The 22,258-nt window shown below is 40.2% G+C and overlaps 1 protein-coding gene across 1 annotated transcript in view, besides 3 other annotated features; it reads right to left on the bottom strand.

Moving 5' to 3' along the window:
- Positions 1-22,258, bottom strand: part of PRKCH (protein kinase C eta) — a 363,509-nt gene that overhangs the window by 275,132 nt on the left and 66,119 nt on the right. The gene's annotated exons all lie outside the window — the stretch shown is intronic.
- Positions 5,435-5,934: an enhancer, noted in NCBI's record as "H3K4me1 hESC enhancer chr14:61736629-61737128 (GRCh37/hg19 assembly coordinates)". NCBI's record gives its function as "activates a minimal SCP1, AML or CMV promoter by ChIP-STARR-seq in naive H9 embryonic stem cells {active_cell/tissue: H9 hESC(naive)}" and the evidence as "EXISTENCE:reporter gene assay evidence [ECO:0000049][PMID:30033119]".
- Positions 19,877-21,076: an enhancer, noted in NCBI's record as "CDK7 strongly-dependent group 2 enhancer chr14:61721487-61722686 (GRCh37/hg19 assembly coordinates)". NCBI's record gives its function as "activates an origin of replication core promoter dependent on BRD2, BRD4, P300/CBP, MED14 and CDK7 cofactors, with strong dependence on CDK7, by STARR-seq in HCT116 cells {active_cell/tissue: HCT116}" and the evidence as "EXISTENCE:reporter gene assay evidence [ECO:0000049][PMID:35650434]".
- Positions 20,142-20,902: an enhancer, noted in NCBI's record as "OCT4-NANOG hESC enhancer chr14:61721661-61722421 (GRCh37/hg19 assembly coordinates)". NCBI's record gives its function as "activates a minimal SCP1, AML or CMV promoter by ChIP-STARR-seq in naive H9 embryonic stem cells {active_cell/tissue: H9 hESC(naive)}" and the evidence as "EXISTENCE:reporter gene assay evidence [ECO:0000049][PMID:30033119]".

Below are 22,258 nucleotides of genomic sequence, written 5' to 3'. Positions count from 1 at the left end.
AGGACAGAGAAAAATCCTGTGGCAATGAAACCCAAGAAACTTTGGGGGTTGTAGGGAGACAGGAGAGGAGAATAAAGGGAAAGATGAGGTCTGAAGCATGAGGCATTTTTCTGGAGGAGCAGGATACCTAGAAGGCAGGGGATTGGCAGCAAAGGAAACCCATGATGAGGGCATGGCTCACCACCAGGACTCATTGATGACAAGGGCTTTGAGAAATTTAGTAAGCGAATGGTGGCTCACCTCTTTCTGAACCCCTTGGCTTGTCTTTTTGATCAATTTAAGTGCGATTTGTCTTTTTCCTTAGGAGCAAAAGGTATTACTGTCAAGAACCTTAGCTAATAGCCTTGCCCTCTACATTGAGCTCTTAACTAAGTTCCCATTATAGTGGCTGAAGCCTTACATTACCGATGAAAGCTGTAAATGATGTGTCATTAATAATGATACTTTGTTCTTCTAAAAGGGCTTTGTTCTGAAAGTCCAAGGTGCTTGACACTATATGGTCGCATTAATCTTATCCATCAAAATGCATGAGGTGTTAGAAAGTCATCAAGACCAATGAGGTAGAAATATATTCCTTTATATTTTGCTCAGTTTTGTACAGAACTCTATAAAAGTAGGTGATGTTCTAAAAGAAAAGAAAGCATAACTTCTGGATGAGGCAATGACAATCATTGGAATGGACCATGAGTATTTTCAAAGGAAGGCTTGATTAATACTTGTTATGATTTTAATAAGTAAAAGACATTTCCAATTTTTGTTAAAGAATCCAAAATGGGAAAGGAAACATTTCCTATTCATGCTAAGTGACAGCATGTAAAACAGCTTCTATTCTTTTCATTTTTTCCTACAGGTCTTGAAGGATGAAGACTTATCTGTTATTTCAATGTAGTTTGCCAACAACTGAATTGTGGTCTTAAGTTTTACTTAGATGAGCCAATTAGCTCATATATTCACTTTCATGTATCTTTAAAAACATTACTGAACATCATATATATAAGTGGCATAATCTGTGTCTCCAACCCTAACTTCTCTCCAAACTCACATTTCCAAAAACCTCTTGAACACGTCTAAATGCCCTCCCTATAGGTACTGTAACTTCTGTATGGGCCATACTAACTTCATTGGCCACTTCTCCAAACCCATCCTTCCAAGAATAGCATCAGATGCTGAAAATGACTCCTCTATCCCCTCAAGGAGCCCTGAATTGCCTCCCTGATTTCTCCCTTTCTGTTTCCTCTTAGAATCAACCTAGTTATCAGATCCTGTTGCTTCTATATCCCAAATGCACTTTCAGTCAATTCTCTCTTTATCACTGCCCTGGCCCAGGGCTTTGCTACTTCTCATCTGAAAGTTGGAGAAGCCTCCTAATTGGGCTCCAGTTTATTCTCCACATCACAGCCACAATGAGCTACATAAAACACAAGTCTTATCATGTTACCCCTCAATGCAAAATCACTCCTGTCTACCCACAGCCTACAGGAGAAAGTAAACTCAGCAGGACATACACACCTTCATGGTTGGCCTCGTTCTAAATCTTCATCCACTTTTCCTCCAACACCCCACCAAATTCCAGCCATATTGAATGATTTAAAGAGGCCCTAACCTCCGTGTCTTTGCTCATGCTGGTCTTGCTCCTCCACCTGACCACCAGAATTTACTCATTCATTCTTCCTTAAGACTTTACTCTGTGTTTTCACCTCTGTGAAGTTCTTTGCAAGTCTTCTTTGCCTCTCCCATGCCCTATCCTTAACCCTCATCCTCTCTTAGTACTTATTCCATTTCTTTCTCGGAGCATTTGCTATGTGCCTAGAAGCTGATTATTCATTTATCTATCTCCATATTCAGGCTGCTAGTCCTACAAGAGGTGAGAATTTTTTTCTCATTCATCTTTATTGCCAGTGCCAAGTACCATAACCAGCACATGATGGGTCCTCAAACATTAGCTGAATGACAACTAGGAAACCAATGACTCCATTACTTTCTTACCAGTGAACATTTTGTTTCCTACAAGATAGTTGAATGCATAGGAAATAATTCAGGAAATTATTGGATGCAGAGATGCATCTAATAATGTAAGATGCAGAGATGGCACTCTAAACACTGAAGATCTTAAAGACAGCTGAGAATGCACGTATATTCTTAACAGCATGGAAATGCTCAGCGTATCCCATCTGGATAACTTAAACGTACAATCAGGTTTTCCTCCATAAACTAATTTGCAAAAATGAATAGCAGATGGGTTACATTAGTTCATTGATAGTGAGGGTAGTTACTTTATGCTCAAAAGTAATCAATGTATTTCCTATTAAACTCCAGTATGTTAATGAATGTTCACATTTTTGTGGTGCTTCTTTATGAAAGAGAATTTTTTACTTACTGTAATATTCTATAATAAAATGTAAATAAACATTGCTTTCCCCTGCCTGGTAATTACCCCAGAATCCATTTAAACAGAAGTAGTATTTGCAGAGAAGTATCCAGGAAGGAAAGAAAAAAATAAATGGAGTAGTAGTTGTCCCATTTGCTGGCTGGTGTTTGGTTTATAACATTTGGCACATCTTGATATCTACATAATAGTAGTTTTAAAGCCATAAATAATATTTTACAGAGGTCACACCATAGTTATTTAAGTTCAGGGGTTTATTTCCCTGAGCACTAAGTAGCTATGAATGAATTATGTTTAGTCTGATCTGCCACAGAAGGGCCATAAAACCTCCAACTCATAGGAAACCGTGGAATATTACTTCAATACATCAGGAAAAATGTACATGTAAAAGAATAATGCATGATAAGGGAAAGGTATTTTTATTTTTTTAAAGTAATATATGTTACTGGGCAGGAGCTATAAAATTTTGTTATGTTAAACTTTCCTCTGATTCTGGAAATCAAGTTAAGACATGGCTTTGCATTGTCTGCCCTCAGCCAGTAAAGCAGGCTGTGGAACCAGAGGAGGGACCCAGGAAAGAGAGTCCCGCCCTGAGTAAGGAACACTTTCTCCTCCCTGCACCTCTGATAGTTGAAAGCAAAGAAAAGTTGCAAGATCACAAGAGGTGATTTTATAAACTTTTTGTTACTGCCAGCATTCTTTTCCAATGACTCCCAGGCAAGTGTTTTTGTAGATACTCAGAAGCAAGGGTACAGACCATTTTTAGCCTTAAGATGCAATTCACTTCAAAAATTAAATCTATGGGCCAGGCGTGGTGGCTCACGCCTGTAATCCCAGCACTTTGGGAGGCCGAGGCAGGTGGATCACCTGAGGTCAGGAGATATAGAGACCAGCCTGGCCGACATGGTGAAACCCCGTCTCTACTAAAAATACAAAACCTAGCCGGCCGTGGTGGCGTGTGCCTGTAGTCCCAGCTACTCAGGAGGCTGAGGCAGGAGAATCGCTTGAACCTGAGAGGTGGAGATGGCAGTGAGCCTAGACCGTGCCACTGCATGCTAGCCTGGTTAACAAACCAAGACTCTGTCTCAAAAAAAAAAAAAAAAAAAAAAAAAAAGAAAGAAAAAAGAAAAGAAAAAGAAATCTACTTAAAATCCTGTTGAGCACATACAACTTACCAGACATCACACTAAGTGATTTCCCTTGGTTTTTCTCATGTCATCTTTTTTTTTTGGAGACCGAGTCTCGCTGTTTTGCCCAGGCCAGAGTGCAGTGGCGCAATCTCAGCTCACTGCAAGCTCCGCCCCCCGGGTTCACGCCATTCTCCTGCCTCAGCCTCCCGAGTAGCTGGGACTACAGGCGCCCGCCACCACGCCCGGCTAATATTTTGTATTTTTTTTAGTAGAGACGGGGTTTCACCGTGTTAACCAGGATGGTCTCGATCTCCTGACCTCGTGATCCGCCCGCCTCGGCCTCCCAAAGTGCTGGGATTACAGGCGTGAGCCACCGCGCCCGGCCCCATGTCATCTTTAAACAACCCTAATATTATCCCCATTATGCAAATTCAGAAACAGAGGTTTGAAGAGAGAAAGAAAGTGGTCCAGTGTTATGCAGCTGGTTGGGGACAGCCAGGTTTCCAGCTGAGGGCAGTGTGACTTCAGAAGCTCCCTGGCTATTCAAAGTCAGCAGTGACAAAACAAATAGCTGCCATTTGTTGAGCACTTTCCAGGCAATGTTCTGAGTGCTTTGCCTATCACATTGTACTCCTCACAACAATCCTATGAAGTAGGTGCTAATATTAACTGCATTTCACAGATGAGGAAGCCAGGTTCAGAGAGGTTAAATAACTAGTCTAAGGCAGCACAGGCAGTATAGAGAGCCAGAATTCAAACCAGGTTGGCCGACTGAGAGGCTCGCTAAAGGAGTCAACTTCTCATCCTCTAATTTTCTTTTAGTTTTTATGCAAATAATGATTAATCATGAATGTTAAGACTAAATCTGTGAAGGAACAAGAATAGTCAAGACAGCCCTGAAAAAGAACTGGAGTTGAAGGCGTGAGAAGGTGGAGGGGGATTTCACTTGACCTACCAGAACTGAAGACTTCACTGGAAAGCTTCAGTGACTTGGACAGGGTGATTTTAGTGTAGGGTAGGCAAGTAGACCAATGGAACAGAATAGAGAGAAATTCATACTATAATGAAAAACACAGAAAAGATAACAATTTAGGAGAGTGGTTATCCCTGGGAGAGAGGGGGTGAATGGCGGCAGGGAGGGCAAACAGTGTATCAAAGTACTAGTAATACTGTGGGAGGTGGGTACACTAGTGTCCATCTTGCTATTATTCCTTAAGTTGTGCACACATTGTATACACTCTTCAGCACTGATAATAACAGTCTGGAGAATTTACTCTGCGCTGATGAAAAGGTTGCCAGGGAGTCTAAGACTTAAACTTTCATGACACCTTTACTTGTTTGTGCTTTTGTTTTTTGAGACAGGGACTTGCTCTGCCACCCAGGCTGCAGTGCGGTGATGCAATCACAGCTCACGGCAGCCTTGACCTCCTGGGCCCAAGTGATCCTCCCACCTCAGCCTCCTGACTAGCATGAACTACAGGCACATGCCATCACACCCAGCTAATTTTTAAATTTTTTTGTAGAGACAGGGTCTTGCTATGTGGGCCTCACTGGCCTCCAACTCCTGGGTTTATGCAGTCCTCCCTCCTCAGTCTCACTACGTGCTGGGATTACAGGTGTGAGCCATTGCATCATGATACCTTTAGAGTCTACTTTTTTCTGTGTTGCATCCAGTGCTTCTATAGACTCAAGTAATGCACAAGGTTAGAATAATTCATTCCTAAGCATTTGCGACCTCATTAAGAAATTTGGATAATTTTTAAATGTGTTTTCTTTAAGTTGAAAAACAAAAATGACATTAGGTGGACTACTGCCCAGTGCACTCCATTTTAGTGGAAAGTTCAAAAGAACACAGGAGCCCCTGCAGGTAAGTCCCCTTGGAATTTTGGTGAGTATAGACACTGTATGAGGGAGGAAAAATCCTGGCCACTGCTAGCGTGGAGAGATGGCTTTTGTATTACAGACTCATAGCACCAAAGCCATGACATCTCCTCATTGTCTTTTTTCTTTTTAAAAAATGTTTGTGGAGACAGGGGTCTCATTATGTTGGCCAAGCTGGTCTCGAACCCCTGGCCTCAAGTGATCCTCCTGCCTTGGCCTCCCTAAGTGCTGGGATTACAGGTGTGAGCCACCATGCCCAACCTCAGTGTCTTTCATCAGAGCAGAAAGCGGGAGGCCATGCAATCTAAGTAGAAATTAACCCTAAGACAGAAATCTTGGGAAGGGAATAAGTAGCATTTTAGCCACATTTCCTCAAATTTACTACCAAAGGTAAACTCAGCAGCCAAGCAGTGGGCTCAGTGCCAGCCCCTTTGCATGTCATAGAGTCTTGCATTTTTCCTGCGCTGTACACCCGGGGACTGGGGAAGGTCGTTCTACAGAACTGAGAAAAGGATTCAACTCTGCCACCTGGCCCCCTGAAGTCACCTCGCCGTGGCCTCGCTGCCCCTGACGGGACCTGTGGCCGGAGCCTGACTGCAGCGACACGGAACGCAGCGTACAATTTCTCAGGTTGATTGTCGGTCCAATCTGTAATGAGAATCCCGTTCTAAAGATGTGCACTGCTGCCCTCCGCTGGACATAGACAGAATCACCAGCATTTAATTACCTTTGGGTCTAATGCAAACGACAGCAAAAAAAATCTGCTCTTAGGGGATTGTGTATGTGCATGTAAATAGTAGCTATAGAAATTAAAGCTCCTCAGAAAACCAAATACCGCATGTTCTCACTTATAAGTGAAAGCTAAAGGATGAGAACACATGGACGCATAGAGGGGAACAACGCACCCTGGGGCCCATGAGAGGGTGGAGGTTGGGAGGAGGGAGAGGATCAGGAAAAATAGCCAATGGATACTAGGCTTAATAATTGGGTGATGAAATAATCTGTACAACAAACCCCATAACGTGAGTTTACCTATGTAACAAACCTGCACGTGTACCCCTGAACTTAAAACTTAAATAAAAATTAATTAATTAATTAAAATTCCTGGGAGTAAATAAAGTTTGGATGTTTATAAATTTTATGACAATTTTGTGACTTTCTATACATTATGATTAAGTGATCAAAAAATTTATCATTAATTTTTATTCAAATAATATTTTCTGCAATATGATTCTAGTGGTTACTACAAATTTCTTTTTTCTCTAAAAAAACTTTTTCACAAATATGTTAGTTTTACAACTATGTCATAAAGAAAAAATTTTTGGCTCTAACTTTGGAAAAGTACACGTCATTTACTTTGTCATAAGCATAGGCACAAAAAATGGAAAAGACTGCCACTTTTTTTCTTTTCACCAAATGTCTTTGCCAAATAGGAAGAATATGTCTTTTTATATTTGAAACTATATTTTTCTTTTTAAGTGGAAGACCAATAAATATTGGCAGATGCCTTTCCCAGGAACTGTATGAAACTGACTCACAGCTTAATGGACTGACTGATACACTTACAATAGTCACTTCTTTCTGGAGCAGAAAGCCTCCAGAGTCTTTCCAGAAGCAAAATTAAGTATGCCCAGTTAGCATTCTATGAATTGCTTTGAATTGCTTGTACTGGAACAGTCATTCAATCAAAGCAAAAAGCTTTAGGTGGGAATGATTTAAACTTTGCCTACTTTTTGAGGTTGATATTGAACCTAAGAAATATATATATATTTTTTGGCAGGGGGCAGCGTCTTGCCCTGTCACCCAGGTTGGAGTGCAATGGTACGATCTCGGCTCTCTGTAACCTCCGCCTCCCGGGTTCAAGTGATTCTTCTGCCTCAGTCTCCCAAGTAGCTGGGACTACAGGCATGGACCACCATGCCCACCTAATTCTTTTGTGTTTTTAGTAGAGCCGGGGTTTTACCAAGTTGGCCAGGCTGGTCTCGAACTCCTGATCTCAGGTGATCCACCTGCCTCAGCCCCCCAAAGTGCTGGGATTACAGGTGTGAGCCATCGCACCCGGCCAGAAATATAAATTTTTGTAAACTATTTTAAAATTGTGTGTAAGTGAAGCTGGTACCATTCTTCAATACCAAAACAAATATTTCTTCCATTCTAAGCTGCACTTCCCCCCACATTTTAACATTTCTAAAATCAGGATGTATATCAAAGTCTTGGCTTCTCACAATCCATGGCATGTTACAATTGCTGGCACTTAGACAGACTCACTGTCAGCCAGGTAATGGTCAGGATGTAGCTGTCATTGTGCAGTACTGTCATATTTGGGGCAAAACACTGCATTGTGTACAATAACATAGACATTGAAGATTCTGTCTTTAAGGGATTCCGAAGAGTTGGACTCTGAACATGAAGGAATTTTAGGAAAATCTTAGCAAAAATAAAGCTTAGTTTATTTTAAATATATTTTTCTTTTCATATCAGCAGAAGCATGATACGTAAGAAAAATCTATCTAAACAAATATAAAAGCACCCTTTTAATAAGGATAAAGTGCAAAAAATGTAAAAAATTGTTAGGTGATATTTTAATTGGCAGCATTTTTTTTCTTAGTGGTACATAACGTAATGGTGCATCTTATGATTCTCGACATCTTAAATTCAATAAATTATACAGCATAACAACAAGACAGTGGAAAAAATGCTTTTGAATTCAAAACCAGATGACATAAGATGGCATTAACTGAAAAGGTGTATTCACTCAATTTCCACTGCCTGCACTATCAATCCATTCTGAGAAGAAAATGGAATTTTTAAAATGCTCTCACTCCTCTGATGTAAACGAATACTAAAAGAATAAAACAGTGTGCCGGATGCCAACATGAATCAGCTCCTCAGCCTTCAGCATCTCACTATAATTATTGGATTCAGTCCAACCAACCTTCAGGATCACAAGAAGGGTAGCTGAGGGGCTCAGAGATCAAAGCCTACATGTAGTTCGTCTGAAGCCCATGTAATATACCTCACTGGAAGGATGCACTTGGGGCTAGAGTGTCAGAAGAGTGAGAATATTAAAGAGTCTTTCTCAGTCCCTGAGGTCTCCTTGAACCGGGAAGCTTTGCTAGATAGGCATACATCAAGGCTCCGAGCATTACATCTCGCTGTACTCTCTCAATCTGAATTGTATGTGAGTATGCGAAGTTGATGACCACATATAAATCATAGTTATTTCTGTTGACAGGAAATAAAGTTAGACTATCAGACATACTCAGAGCCAATATCTGCTTTCATGTTTTTCAAAGTTATAGGGAAAAGATGTCTTCCATTATTGTGAACGTATTGTCAGAGTGAAGACTGAGCCAGTTCTATAGCCTCCAGGTCCTTTTCTCCGCCAAGAATGGAAAACATGCTGTGATAAAACGTTGCCAAAGGAGAGTTCCAAATAAAAGCCTCCCAGTCTATTTAGACTTGGCGTGGTTGAAGACTCCCTTCAACCCCACCCTCTACCATCCCACCCAAGGAATGAAGTTTTTGCTTTTCCTTCAAAAACTGTGTTTCTTGTTTCCCATCACCCATCCCCATCACCTCATCTCCCTCCCTAGGCGCCGTTTCAGCAAAGCTCGGGGAATCAGAATTTTTTTTAGCATACACAGATTCTTATATCAGTTTTAGGGCCTCTATTAGCATAAAATATACACAAATAAGTGCATTAGCAGCATATAGATGAACCAGGCATATAAAGCCATTTCTAGTTACATATTCTCGTGAGACAATTCCTCTCCTGGTCCTTCGTAAAACAAGTTTCCATCTGTCTTTGCTCAAGATCCATGTTTCAGTGCTGAGTCAAGCCACTGATTCGGAGGCTCATGAATGATTTTCCTATGTTTCCCTGCAATGCATTTTACTTTTTATGCACTCCCAGAAGTTCCTTGCTTTTAAAAATGGTCTTATTATGCAGCTTCAGGGGCTATTTATCACTACATACTTTCTGGACCTATAATTTTTATTTATGTATTTATTTATTTATTTATTTTTGGAGATGGAGTCTCGCTCTGTTGCCCAGGCTGGAGTTCAGTGGCACAATCTCAGCTCACTGCAACCTCTGCCTCCCAGGTTCAAGTGATTCTCCTACCTCAGCCTCCCGAGTAGCTGGAATTACAGGTGCATGCCATCACACCCAGCTAATTTTTGTATTTTTAGTAGAGTCGGGGTTTCACCATGCCTGCCAGGCTAGTGTCGAACCCCTGACCTCAAGTGATCCACCCACCTCAGCCTCCCAAAGTGCTGAGATTACAGGCATGAGCCACCATGTCCAGCCAAGGACCTATGATTTTTCTAAAAGCTTCAGTAGTCTTTAAAACTCTTTCTCCCTCTTAAAGAATCCCTTTTCACATTCTTGGGGGTGATCTCAGCTCACTGCAACTTCTGCCTCCCAGGTTCAAGTGATTCTCCTGCCTTAGCCTCCCGAGTAGCTAGGATTACAGGCGCATGCCACCACGCTTGGCTAATTTTTTTATTTTTAGTAGAGATGGGGTTTTGCTATGTTGGCCAGACTGGTCTCGAACTCCTCACCTCTAGTGATCCTCCTACCTCATCCTTCCAGAGTGCTGGGATTGCAGGTATGAGCCACTGCACCCAGCTGGGGGCTCTTATTTGGAGCTCTCCCTAGATCTTATTCTCCTAGCCCAGTCTCACCCTAAGCAAACATTAGCACTGTACACTAATGTAGCAATATTGCAGTTTTATGTTTTCAAGCCCAGACTAAAATGACTCTAAATTCAAAGATGATTTGGTGTAGGGCTTATGAAAGGTGCTCTTAGTGGCAGAGGGGTGACAGAGAGAAGCACTGGCTTGGGAGGTGGTGATCCTGGGTGATGGTCCATTTTCTGCCAATACCTAAGTATGTGACCTGGAAAAGTTATTTAATGTTCTGTGTCTCCTCTGTAAAGTGAGGGTTTTTGTTTTTGTTTTTTGAGACAAGGTTATGCTCTGTCACGCAGGCTGGAGTGCAACGGCACGATCTTGGCTCACTGCAGCTTCCGCATCCCAGGCTCAAGCTATCCTCCCACCACAGCCTCCCAAGTAACTGGGACTACAGCTGCTCACCTCCATGCCCTGCTAATTTTTGTATTTTTTGTAGAGACAGGGTTTCAGTATGTTGCCCAAGCTGGTCTTGAACTCCTGGGTTCCAGCAATCCACCCACCTTGGCTTCCCAAAGTGCTGGGATTACAGACATGAGCCACCGCACCCGCCTGGGATGGTTTCTTGAGGAGAAATGCAATTGTCAAAATTGCAAGGGTTCATAACAGAGGATAACCCTGTTATTTTCCACTGAGAATTTGAAAAAGGTTATGTTGAGGATTGTTTTGGATTTGGTTCCTTCCAATGTCAACTTCTAACCTTTAAAAAAAATTGTAATGACATGCTTATGCTAGTCCTCAACACGTGGTAGGGAAGGAACACTGGGTGGCTCTAGTGATCTTAAACATCTTCCTACTTCAATCCCAGCCCAACACACCATTCCCCATCCCTCCTTACTCTCCTCACTAACAGCACGGACTCTTCTAAAAAACAAACTCAAACTGCGTCATGGACCACAGTAGCCAAAATCTAAGGAATTCAAGCCTCTCTGTTTCACTGCCAAGCACTATCCCAAAAAGGTCACTGATCTTTGAAATCAGCGAGCCCTGAAGCCCACTGAAGGGGGTCAAAAGAGTTAAAAGATTCCAGATGGGGCCAGAGTAGCCTCTCCAATTTCTTCTGCCTGTGTTGCTCATTCAGGGTGACCTGTACAGGTCACTAAATCTCTATGTGCTTTCAACTCCCCATTTATAAAATTTGGCTAATATTGATTTGTAAGATATTTAGAGAGAGTTGAATTAGGATTACTACAAAGAGCAAATTCCCTAGCTGATTTTTGTGTTACTACTAGTGAAGGCCCTAGGCACAATTCAACAATCAAAAAGCAGCAGTGAATGAGAAATTGCTGAAAGTGGCCAAATCAGGCTTTCTTAGATCTGGAGCTCTGCTGCCCAATTAAATCTGCACACTCACATTGGACAACATCTAGTTTATAAAGGCAAATATTTAATTAGTGGAACCTTAGGACTGGCAATGCTACTTCCAACCCATGTAACAAGATACCCTAAGCTTGAAAAGCAAACCCTGTAAACTTAAACTACTGTAAAATTATAAAGTTTAACATAAAAATGGAAAATCTTTAAATAGCCGTTTTGTGCAATGTTCTTAACAGACAAGACTGCCACACAATGAAACTGTGTAACTGCTAGCAGCAGGCACTCCAGGAAGATAAAATAAACTGGCTTTATGGACCCGAGGAATTGATTTTTAATGAGATTCTGCTTGGCTATAATGGCATCCTGAGAGGGCGATCCAGTTTCCACGGCCTCTGGTATACAGTTATAAGGTGCAGAGCAAGGACTCAGTTAAACAATGCCCATGTATTTGCCCTTTTGGCATATGAGATTAAATAAAATAAGGATGTTGTTCTTAGACACTTTCCAGAAACTGCACATGCACGTGCGTACACACACATACACACACACACACACACACACACACACACACACACACACACACACACAATACTCTGACTTCAGATGCTTTTCCTTAGACATTACCTGCTCGTATATTCTAAATTTTAGAGGACTTGACCCTTGAAGTTATGGGCTTGTGTTTGTATTTCTCTATCGGGGTATAACAACCCATAAATTATTAGATGAACTTGGCTGATTATTTTGTATTCCACTACCTGGAGACATTTATGCTTATATATAAATATGTACAGCAATGGATATGGATACAAATAGGTATAGATAGAGATATGGCTATAGATAATTGGCAATAGAATTGAGAAGGCAGTGTAGTATATTGGTTAAGAGATTCAGCTTTGAATCTTGCCTCTGCCCCTTCCTAGCTGTGTGTCCTTAGGCATATTAATCAACTTCTCTGAGCCTCAACTTTATCTTCCATAAATGTGGATAGTAATACCAATTTTACAAGGTTGTAGTAAAGATTAAATGATACACAAACACACAATAACATAAATGAATCTTAGCAATATAATATTAAAGGAAAAAATAAATCTCCAAAGATTATGTATAGCACATTTTTTCATAAAGGTAAAGCTAAATAACATTGAAGTCTATATGTTTATGAGTTCATACAGCAGCAGTAGAATCATGTGCAAAAAAGAAAAAGAATGATAAACACAAGGTCCAGGGTGATGACTGCTTTGAATGAGAGGGAATAAGGGAGAATGGGAGGGAGAGAGGATCAAATAGGGAGATAACTGGTTATAGTCAAGGTGCTAGTTTGTGATGGAGCGGCAGGCTCGTGAACACATATAATGAATAAAAATAAGTAGTCAACTAAATAAAACTAGCAAACTAGCTACAAATGGACCAATGATGAGAATATGTCATGAACCAAGGAATATGATTAATCCAATTCTGTGTACTGGAGGGTCAAAGAAAAAGAAGACTAAATGAGATAATGTATATTAAAGTGATTAGCACAGTATCAGGCCCTTAGTAAGCACTCGAGAAAATCTTAGGTAAATGGCTGGGTATTTCTACATACATTCATATGTATCCTTATCCTTAATTAATTTGGCTTTCCCCGGCATCATCCACTTCCCCCCATTTTCCCTATTTTTTGATTTCCTCATTTTTTTTTTCTGTTGCATCATCTGGGTTTAGAAAAATCCTTCACTTTTCAATTTTTAAAAACCTTGAGACATGATTTACATACAATGCCATGTACAGATCTTAGGTGTTCAGCTCCATGCATTTTGTCCGCTGTATTCACAAACGTAACCATGATTCAAAACAAGATATAGACTATTCCCATCATCCCAAAAAGTTTCTTTGTGCCCCTTCCCACTCAATTATCCCTTTGCCAAAGGTGACTTCTTTCTGACTTCTGACATCTCTCACTATAGATTAATTTTGCCCATTTGTAGACTTCATATAAATGAATCATACTGCTTGTATTCTTTTATATCCAGCTTCTTTTGATCCCCGCAATGCTTTTGAGATTCTCTATCATACTGTGTATCTGTAGTTCATTCCTTTTTATTGCTGAGTAGTGTTTTGTTGTATGAATATGCAACTTGATTATCCTTCCTTTCTACTATGAATGGACGTCTGGGCTGTTTCCAGTTTGGAGCTATTATGAGTAATGCTGCTCTGAATATTCTTTTTTTTTTTTTATACAGAGTCTCACTCTGTCACTGAGCTGGAGTGCAGTGGTGCCGATCTTGGCTCACTGCAACCTCCACTTCCCAGGTTCAAGCAATTCTCCTGCCTCCGCCTCCCAAGTAGCTGGGATTAAAGGTGCCCACCACTACGCCCAGCTAATTTTTTGTATTTTTAGTAGAGATGGGGTTTCACCATGTTGGCCAGGCTGGTCATGAACTCCTGACCTCGTGATTTGCCCGCCTCGGCCTCCCAAAGTGCTAGGATTACAAGCGTGAGCTACCGTGCCCGGTGCTGCTCTGAATATTCTTAAATGATTATTTCTGTGGATATATCTTTTGATTTATTTCAGGTAATACTTAGGACTGGAATTGCTGAGTTGTAGGGTAGATGCCTGTTTATCTTTATGAGAAACTGCCAGTTTTCCAAAGGGGTTGAATCATTCCAAATCCTTAAATCTGTAACATCTAACTCTACACCAGCAAGAATCCTTTTGTGTCAGGTCCATGTCTTTTACCAACTCTAAAAGGATTCCTAGGCCAAGAAAAATAAATTAAAAAAAAAAGATATGGATGTAAATGGCAACAGATGAATTTAGACTTGTCTGATGGTAGAATGTGCCAAGTCAGAACAGCAAGAGAGCCTTCCCCTGCTGATTCAGACCTCGAAATAAATCATATTTAAGAATACGACTTGGGTAAAGTGTGAGCCCAAATCATATGTTCTCCAGCTGGGTGGATGTCCCTTTCTGCTCTTGGCCTCAGCAGCCACACTGAATAATCTTTTTGGGAATGGGTGGGTGACCGATGGTAGGGACATTAATTGCCTTCCATTGGCTGGTTGATTTGGCTGTAAAGAGAAATGCCTGCCCAATTCCCAGAGAGCTTACATCTGTTTCTCATACAGCGCAGCCACCCATGCTGCTTCAACTATTCCCTACTGCTGGCCAGGCCACCACTTTATTGATTTTTTTCCCTTGCCCTTTTAAAAAGATGAAAGTTCCTAAAAGCTTTTTGCATGTGCATGTGCATGTGCGTGTGTGCGTTGGTGACGGCAACAGTTTAGTTTAGCAAACCAAGCAGCAGCCAGGTGAGTCATCCCTGGGTTTGTTGGTTTGTTTGGTTTTTTTGTTGGTGGTGGTGGTATTGTTTTTGGAACCGATTACTCTAGGATTGTGCACCCCCAGTGGTGGAGCTGACAGGAGCATAATAATTAGAATGTGCTGACAACAACTTAAAGATAATTAGTTGACAATGAGTTGAGACCTCATGAACCCCTTTAACACCTCAAGGTTTGTGATTAAAATGAAATACTTGGAAGTCCCTTAAAGTACATCTTGTCTTCCTACCAGAAGTTGTTTGGGTACAGCCAGAATGTTTGATATTTCTTTGATATGTCTTTCATTTCACGTTTTGTGATTATCCGCAAAGGTTAGCATTATTTCTGTGGAAATCAATAGATTAAAGGATTTGTGGTTTTACTCACAAAGCTATTATTTTGCTTCTTTCCCCAATAATCATCTCCCACTCTCATCCAGCCTTTTAACTAATTGATGTTCAAACATTTTTTTAAGAAAAAAAATCATCCTTTTGTTCTTACAGATTACATGGATTAATAAAGTTAACTGTGATTTACTGAAATTATTCCAACTGAAAGTTTAATGGCTACAGAATGCCACCATGACAATTCACAGGTGTGCATATGTTTAGATGAAACTAGGGTATTTCACAAATCTGCTAGCCTCAGCTTCCAATAAACATATGATAGTTTTTATTTTTCTTGATGGGCCCTCAATAAATGTTTAATAGACGGAAGAATTGATACTGAGATTCCATGATCTTCTAGAATTTATTCAGTTTCACTCTGCCTCCAAAATAGACTCCATTTAAACCCATAGAGGTAAAACCTAGTGGTTCTGTCCTTTGTTCCTAAATGTTTCTTAGGAGAGTAGTTTCAGTGCTTCCAGGACAATGCAATTACACTACATATTAAACTTCAAATATCAAACAACATTCTAATATTTCAGAAGGGTTGCAATTAGCTTTATTTTTATTATAAAATGTTAATCACCTGTAAAGCTAGAACCTTAATATCAGTTATATTATTTAGACATGTAATCAGTTATACCATTTAGACATTGCAACCATTTGTTTGATACGGAAGTTTCATATTAATGAGGCCAAATTCGTTCACTTCCAGGATACTGGTCTTTAATCTTTTCTGGGTCACAGACCCATTTGGGAATATGGTGAAATCTGTGAACCCTCTGGTCCAGATGAAGGCTCGGTCACTTATACGCCAAATTTATTGGATTTCTGGGGATTGATGGATTCCAGATTAATATTCTCACATCATCTTTAACAGATGATTTTAACCTTTCAGACATGTTGGTTATTAATCTGTAAAACAAATCGGGGAAAATGGACCAACTGTGAACAGATCATATTCAAATTGGAACTAGGATTTGAGTGAACTACCCTAGTTAGAAATCCAAGCAGGAAAAAAAAATGCTTTGTTATAAAATAAAGGTCAAGTGTGCAGTGGAGATTTATTGAAAAGATTAATTGACCAGAGCTCTAGGCTAGTGTTTCTCACAGTATAATGTGTATGACTGCTTCAACAGATTTAGCAGAGATGCTTGTTTAAAATGCTTGTTCCTAGGTCCTACCTCAGCAGACTAAATGGGTATCTCCTTTGATGGGAGCTGAGCCCCTGAATTTCAGTTTAACAAGATCTCCAGGTGATTCTTACGTGCAGCCGGGTTTGAGAATCTGTCTCTTCCACTCTTACTCTTAACGTGACCTCTTTTGCAAAGCACTTTATTTATATTGGTATCGTTAGTCAGTCAGTGTGAATGAAGATCTTCCATAAACGCCCAGAAAATGCTTTTGATAACTCCAATTTGGGTAGTGAATGTCATCAGAGAGCCCTGTGGAAAGCAGCTGCAAACAATTGTCACTCTGCTCTACTTACCATCAGAGGAAGGCCACTTTAGATCGGCCCATCACATTGTTTCATTTTTTGGTACTTAGTCATTTGTTACAATAAAAATTAAGTTACAGGAAAGGAACACTCTGACAGGATAATGGACTCCCACTCAGAAGAAACCAGCCTGCCTCCAATTCATCACGGCATTTATAGTGCATTAGAAGACATCACAGTGACAACATCATTCCTTTGGGGCAGGAAGAAAAGCCAGATTGAGTGGGAAAGAGGGAATTGACTTCGTGAACTTGGCAAAAGTGAAATAAAAATAGAATCCAGGGGTGGTTTGAATTGCCATGTTCAGCAAAGGACGAGGAAGGAGCTAACAATCACTGAGACTAACATTCCAATATGTTAAAAAATTAGCTTATTTCACCTTGCATCACATGAGTAGTTTGTGGGTTAAAATGAAATGGTTGCCTGAGAAATAACAGAGTGGCATGGAGAAAATGGGCAAAGTTAAGGCAATTTAAAATGATTAAAGCCCACAAAATATTTTGCAAATATAAAGTCCTGGAGGGAACTTTAATAATAATATTTGTCCAATAGACTGGGCCAAAGATATCTATATTGTCTGGGCATTTTAATTGGAGGATTGAAGTATAATTATAAAATCATAAAAAATCTATGTCTGTGTTCTCATAAAAGTAAAAATGGTTATTTGATGTAGGAAAGTAATGTTTTGAAACATAGGAGCTGAAGGAATGTGGCACTGGGTGGGTATGTCTGCCAACTTAGACCCAGGAACTTAATAACTTTATAGTATTTTTACTATTATACCCTACATCATGTTAAGCCTGGGAAAAAAATAAAAGGGGATACCAGGCAACTTTGTATAATGAAAATGTCTTAATCTTGTGATTTTTAAGGTAACTCTTTTTAAAACTTTACTTTTTATTAAAATAACATTATTTCATAGATCCTGGAAACTTTTTTTTGGTCCAGGTTTCCCCTTAATAAAATGTTTAATTCACTTAAGAGTCTCTTTGAACAAAAACCTGTGTGGTCTCATTTTCTTTCCCTGTCAATCTGTGTTATTTCCAGGGTGAAAGGTAATTTTGACCATAAACATGGTTTCCATCACACATTTCTAATTTTAACCTATTTGTCTCAGTTTGATTTACATTGGGGTCTAGAGCAAATTAACTATTGCGAGTTTTTATTGAAAATTAATTAGGTGGCTAAAGTGCCCATGGCAGAATCTCTGCCAGTACGTTTCTCTCTTGGTCGCCAGCCTTCTCCAGTTAAAACACCTAGCAACTTAGAAAAAAAAATCCATAAAACGAATGATATAATTAGTTCCAGAGTGGAACTCAATCTCTTTGAAATCAGATGCTTTCTTCTAGTGCTGAAGTGCCATGCTATAGCAAGCATTTTATGGTATCAGGGGATTGTCCTGGGAGTGAAGAGTGCTCGTTCTAGCTGAATCACCTCACATGACTTACAAAAGGTGTCCTTGTGGTACTAAATATAGCTGAATCTCTAATCTGATTCCTAAGTCAAGGCAAAGAGAGAGAGGAAGCTAGGTTTACAATACTATAAGGTGAAAAATAAGCTCCCCAGGTTGGGAAATAGACTCCATGAATGTGTGTGTATGCGTGTGTGTGTGTGTGTGGGGGTGTGTGTGTGTGTGTGTGTGTGTGTCTGTGTGTGACAGAGAGAGAGAGGGAGAAAGATCTTATGCTTAGGAAAAGGCAGGATGTAAATGTGATTTATTGTAAATAGTTCCACAACATTAAAATGAGTTTTTATTTTCTATGTATGCTGCTTCAAAGAAGAGCTCTGTGGGCTCATAAAAATGCAGAGAACAAATAGGGGTCTCTAAGTCCAATTTATATGCCATGCCCACTGTGCACTGAGACACATATAATCTGTAAAATGTCAGCTTCAAAGTTCCACCGAGATCGGTGTTAACCCTGACCTCTGACCTCGCCGCCTCTGGCTGGGCCTGCGTGCTTTCTTTACCAGCTGTTTTAGATAAATGTGTTCCATTTTTAAGAGATTGTCTCAGTGTTTTTTTACATGAATAGTGGTAATATTATTAACTCTCACTGGAGAAACCACCTTTTCTAAGAGGGCTTTACAGAAGAACCAATCATTTCATGCCCCATGCAGAGAGTAGTGGATTAATAAATATGTCATTGTACTGAAAATATTTAAACAACACTGGGAGAAAGGAGAAAGGCACACAACAAAAGGAAAGCATATTAGTAGTGTTTCCTGTCAAAATACACAGAGGAAGCACTTTATTTGGACCATTTTCTCCATAAAGAGACATGGCGGGCCAAGATAAACACAGTGAAGGAATCTGGTTTATCCCACTTTGGAGATTGGAGACCATCAGCTCAACCAAAGCTATGAGACCAAAACCAGGTTTTCTCTCTTGAGGCTGCTAAGTGAAGCCATTGACAGAGGCAAGCAGATAGATTTAGCAGATCAATACTGCATGGTTAAGTGGTATATAAGGTTTCTTTCATGATCAAGTGGACCAATTCACATACTAGGATCAATAAGTAAAAAATTCGGAGCAACAAATACAACTTTAAAATAGAGGATTTACCCAACCAAGACAATGAACAATGATTTCAGCCAGAGTCTAGGGATATTTTTACATCTCAATAAAACAAAGAAAATCCTGAATTAATGTTTACTGTGGGCAAGGTAATTCTTGATGCGGGGCGAGTTTAGGATAGAAAAAGTATAATTTCTACTAACCCAAAGCATTAATTTTTCAGGATCAAAAAGCCAGTACAATTTCGCATAGACGAGCATTGTCTTCAGGAAAAATAAGCACAGATGGAACCAAAGCTATGACAGAACACACCCCACAGGCGGTGGGCTTCACTGACGGTTCTATGCTCAGAAACCAACTCCGGGGAATTCAGGTTAGCAACTGGAAAATGGAATACTATTCTATTTGCTAAAGGAGGTCACGACAGGAGACAAAGGAAGAAAAGGATACCAAATAAAAATAGACCACCTTTTTGTATGATTCATTTGGGAGCCAATTTAATGCATTCCTGGTCAGCTTTTATCTGTCTTGGTATTTTTCATCTCTGGTGATGAGACAGAAATTCTGGTTGGTATGCATTTTGACAAGTCATGGAACTGTGATTTGCGACATGCTCAAAATTTAAATCGATGAGTAAAAACATAAAACCTTGAAATTGTCACCAACCCTTCAAGTGCAAATGCATTTGAAATAGAATCCCAGACTCGCGCCACTAAACTTTATGCACTAGGACAGTTTAGAATCCTTTCATGTGTAGACTGACATCATTTCAAGTGAACAACCCACAATTAGAATTTTTTAACATTAAAAATTTCCTTCAAATAGATAAGACTGCCTTAAACCACTAGAGACATCACTTTGAAAGGGTATATATGTTCACTCTAGGGTATCGTATTATTAGGAAATTTGGCACTCCCAAATGTGTTATCCAAAATTATTAAGTCTAGACCAGGTGAGAAGACTGTTTTTGAAACTAATCCTGTAGCACTGTCCCTTTTAAGTGGCTGCTTTCATGAACCAGCCAGTATTTATATATTATTATAAAGATAATACCCCTACTCACCTCATAAGGCTGTTTTGAGAATTAATTAATGTTTGCCAAGTACTTTGAGCTCTGCAGATGAAAGGTGGGGTGGAAATGCTAAGTATTATTATTATTTTAATCTGTATTTGAATTTGCCTCTTACAAGACTGTCTTTTTTTTAAGATAATAATCTCTTCTTCGGACAGAAAAAGGAAAAATTGCCTCATCCACAATTGGACCCTTACAAGGAGGACAGGTGTGATTATTAGGATTTGGCCTAAAGAATAGATTGAAGCGGATGATACACTTCAAAAGAATGTGTTCCCAATCTCAAGACCTCTCTGGGGAGTCTCACAAGTGTCAAGTTTATCCTGTGATCCCTGCTGAGATATGGCCAAATGTAAAGGCCAGGACCAGCTGGGTGTTTACATGACATATAAATAACAACACAAACCTGGTCAATTAACCTCTTTGCTGCTTGGTTTAAGTGAGTCCCACAACCTGCCTAATGAAGAGAAAGAAACTCCCTCAATCCTGCTAAGAGGTTAGAGGACAACGTTGAGAAACTGATTTGAGAGGAATTGAATTTGCTATTCTGGGTTCACAACTCCAGCCCTAATCCTGATAGCGCAGCAAGAAGGGCTGCCATAATCTTGAAGGGTCCCTTTGAGAGAGTGTGGGACTGCAGTGAGGATGGAACAGGGCAGCTTTCCCAGGCAGGGGATGTTGTCTTGGTTATTCACGGATCTGCATCACCGCCCTTCCTGGAACCTGGCAGGCGGCAGTACAGAGCTGGTGAAGGAGGAATGAAGGAGGAAGCCATGCTGCACTGATGATGGTTTGGCGATGCTGGTCTACACCAGAAAAATTGGATTCTCCCTAGAAAAGAGATTTGAAATTCCCTGGAGATTTCTGACCATGTCCTTTGGAAGAAATATTCATACAGCCAGGGAAACCTTAAAATCAACTTGCTTTTATTCTTGCCCAAAATTAAAGGCTTGCCTACCAACAACTTTCCTCTCAAAAATTGACATCTATGATTGCCAATCTTTTAGTAGGTTTTTATGTTTGTTTGTTTGTTTTGTTTTATTTTGTTTTGTTTTTTAAACAGGGTCTGTCACCGGGATGGAGTGCAGTGGTGTAATCACAGCTCACTGCAGCCTCTACCTCCCGAGCTCAAGTGATTCTCCCGTCTCAGCCTCCCGAGTAGCTGGGACTACAGGCTTACACCACCACACCCGGCTAATTAAAAACATTTTTTTGTAGAGATGGAAGTCTCCCTATGTTGCCCAGGCTGGTCTCAAACTCCTAAGCTCAAGCAATCCTCCTACCTTGGCCTCCCAAAGTGCTGAGATTACAAGCATGAGCCACCGTGCCTGGTCTAGCATGATTTTTATCACGACTTTTTCTGTCTTTTAAGATTGGAAAGGCATAAATCAATATTTCAGGTAAAAGCTTGTTATTTATTTTCCTGAGAATTTGGGGAATTTTCTTCTAAGGCCATTCTGGGATGTTAGCAAACAGCTTTTAGAATCACTGATCTATATCCAAATGATAAAACATGAGAGAGACTGAAAGCTCTCTGAGAATAGAAACATAACTTTTTCAGCTTTTTATACTCCTCAATGTCTCGCATAGAGTTTCGACATAGTAGAAACTCTATAAATATTTGTTGAAAGAAGAAAGGAAGGAAGGAAGGAAGGGAGGGAGGGAGGGAGGGAGGGAGGGAGGGAGGAGGGAGGGAGGGAAGAAGGAAGGAAACATGTACACAAACATTTGTGTACGTGTTTACCTCACCTTTAATAATTATACCTGTGTTCATTGAACATTTACTATAGGCCAGCCACCACTATGCTAAGCACTGACCATATATTATCTCATCAAACTCTCCTAGTAACACTTTGCAGTGGACACTACAACCAATCCAATTTTGCAGAGGAGGAAACCGAGGCTTAGGAAATTTGGAAAACTTGCGCACCGTTGCCTAATTAGGCAGAGTCAGATTAGAAACCAGTATAATTAGGCATTATATGAGAGGCAGAGAGTTGAACCACCAAGCTCTGCCTTTGCTGTGCCCCTGAAACACAGTGTGTAAAGAGGACACTGCAAACTTGAGCATATTTTAA

This window comes from Homo sapiens, chromosome 14 (assembly GCF_000001405.40).
Source record: "Homo sapiens chromosome 14, GRCh38.p14 Primary Assembly".
NCBI classification, from domain to species: domain Eukaryota; kingdom Metazoa; phylum Chordata; class Mammalia; order Primates; family Hominidae; genus Homo; species Homo sapiens.
This window is presented reverse-complemented; position numbering and strand designations above follow the sequence as displayed.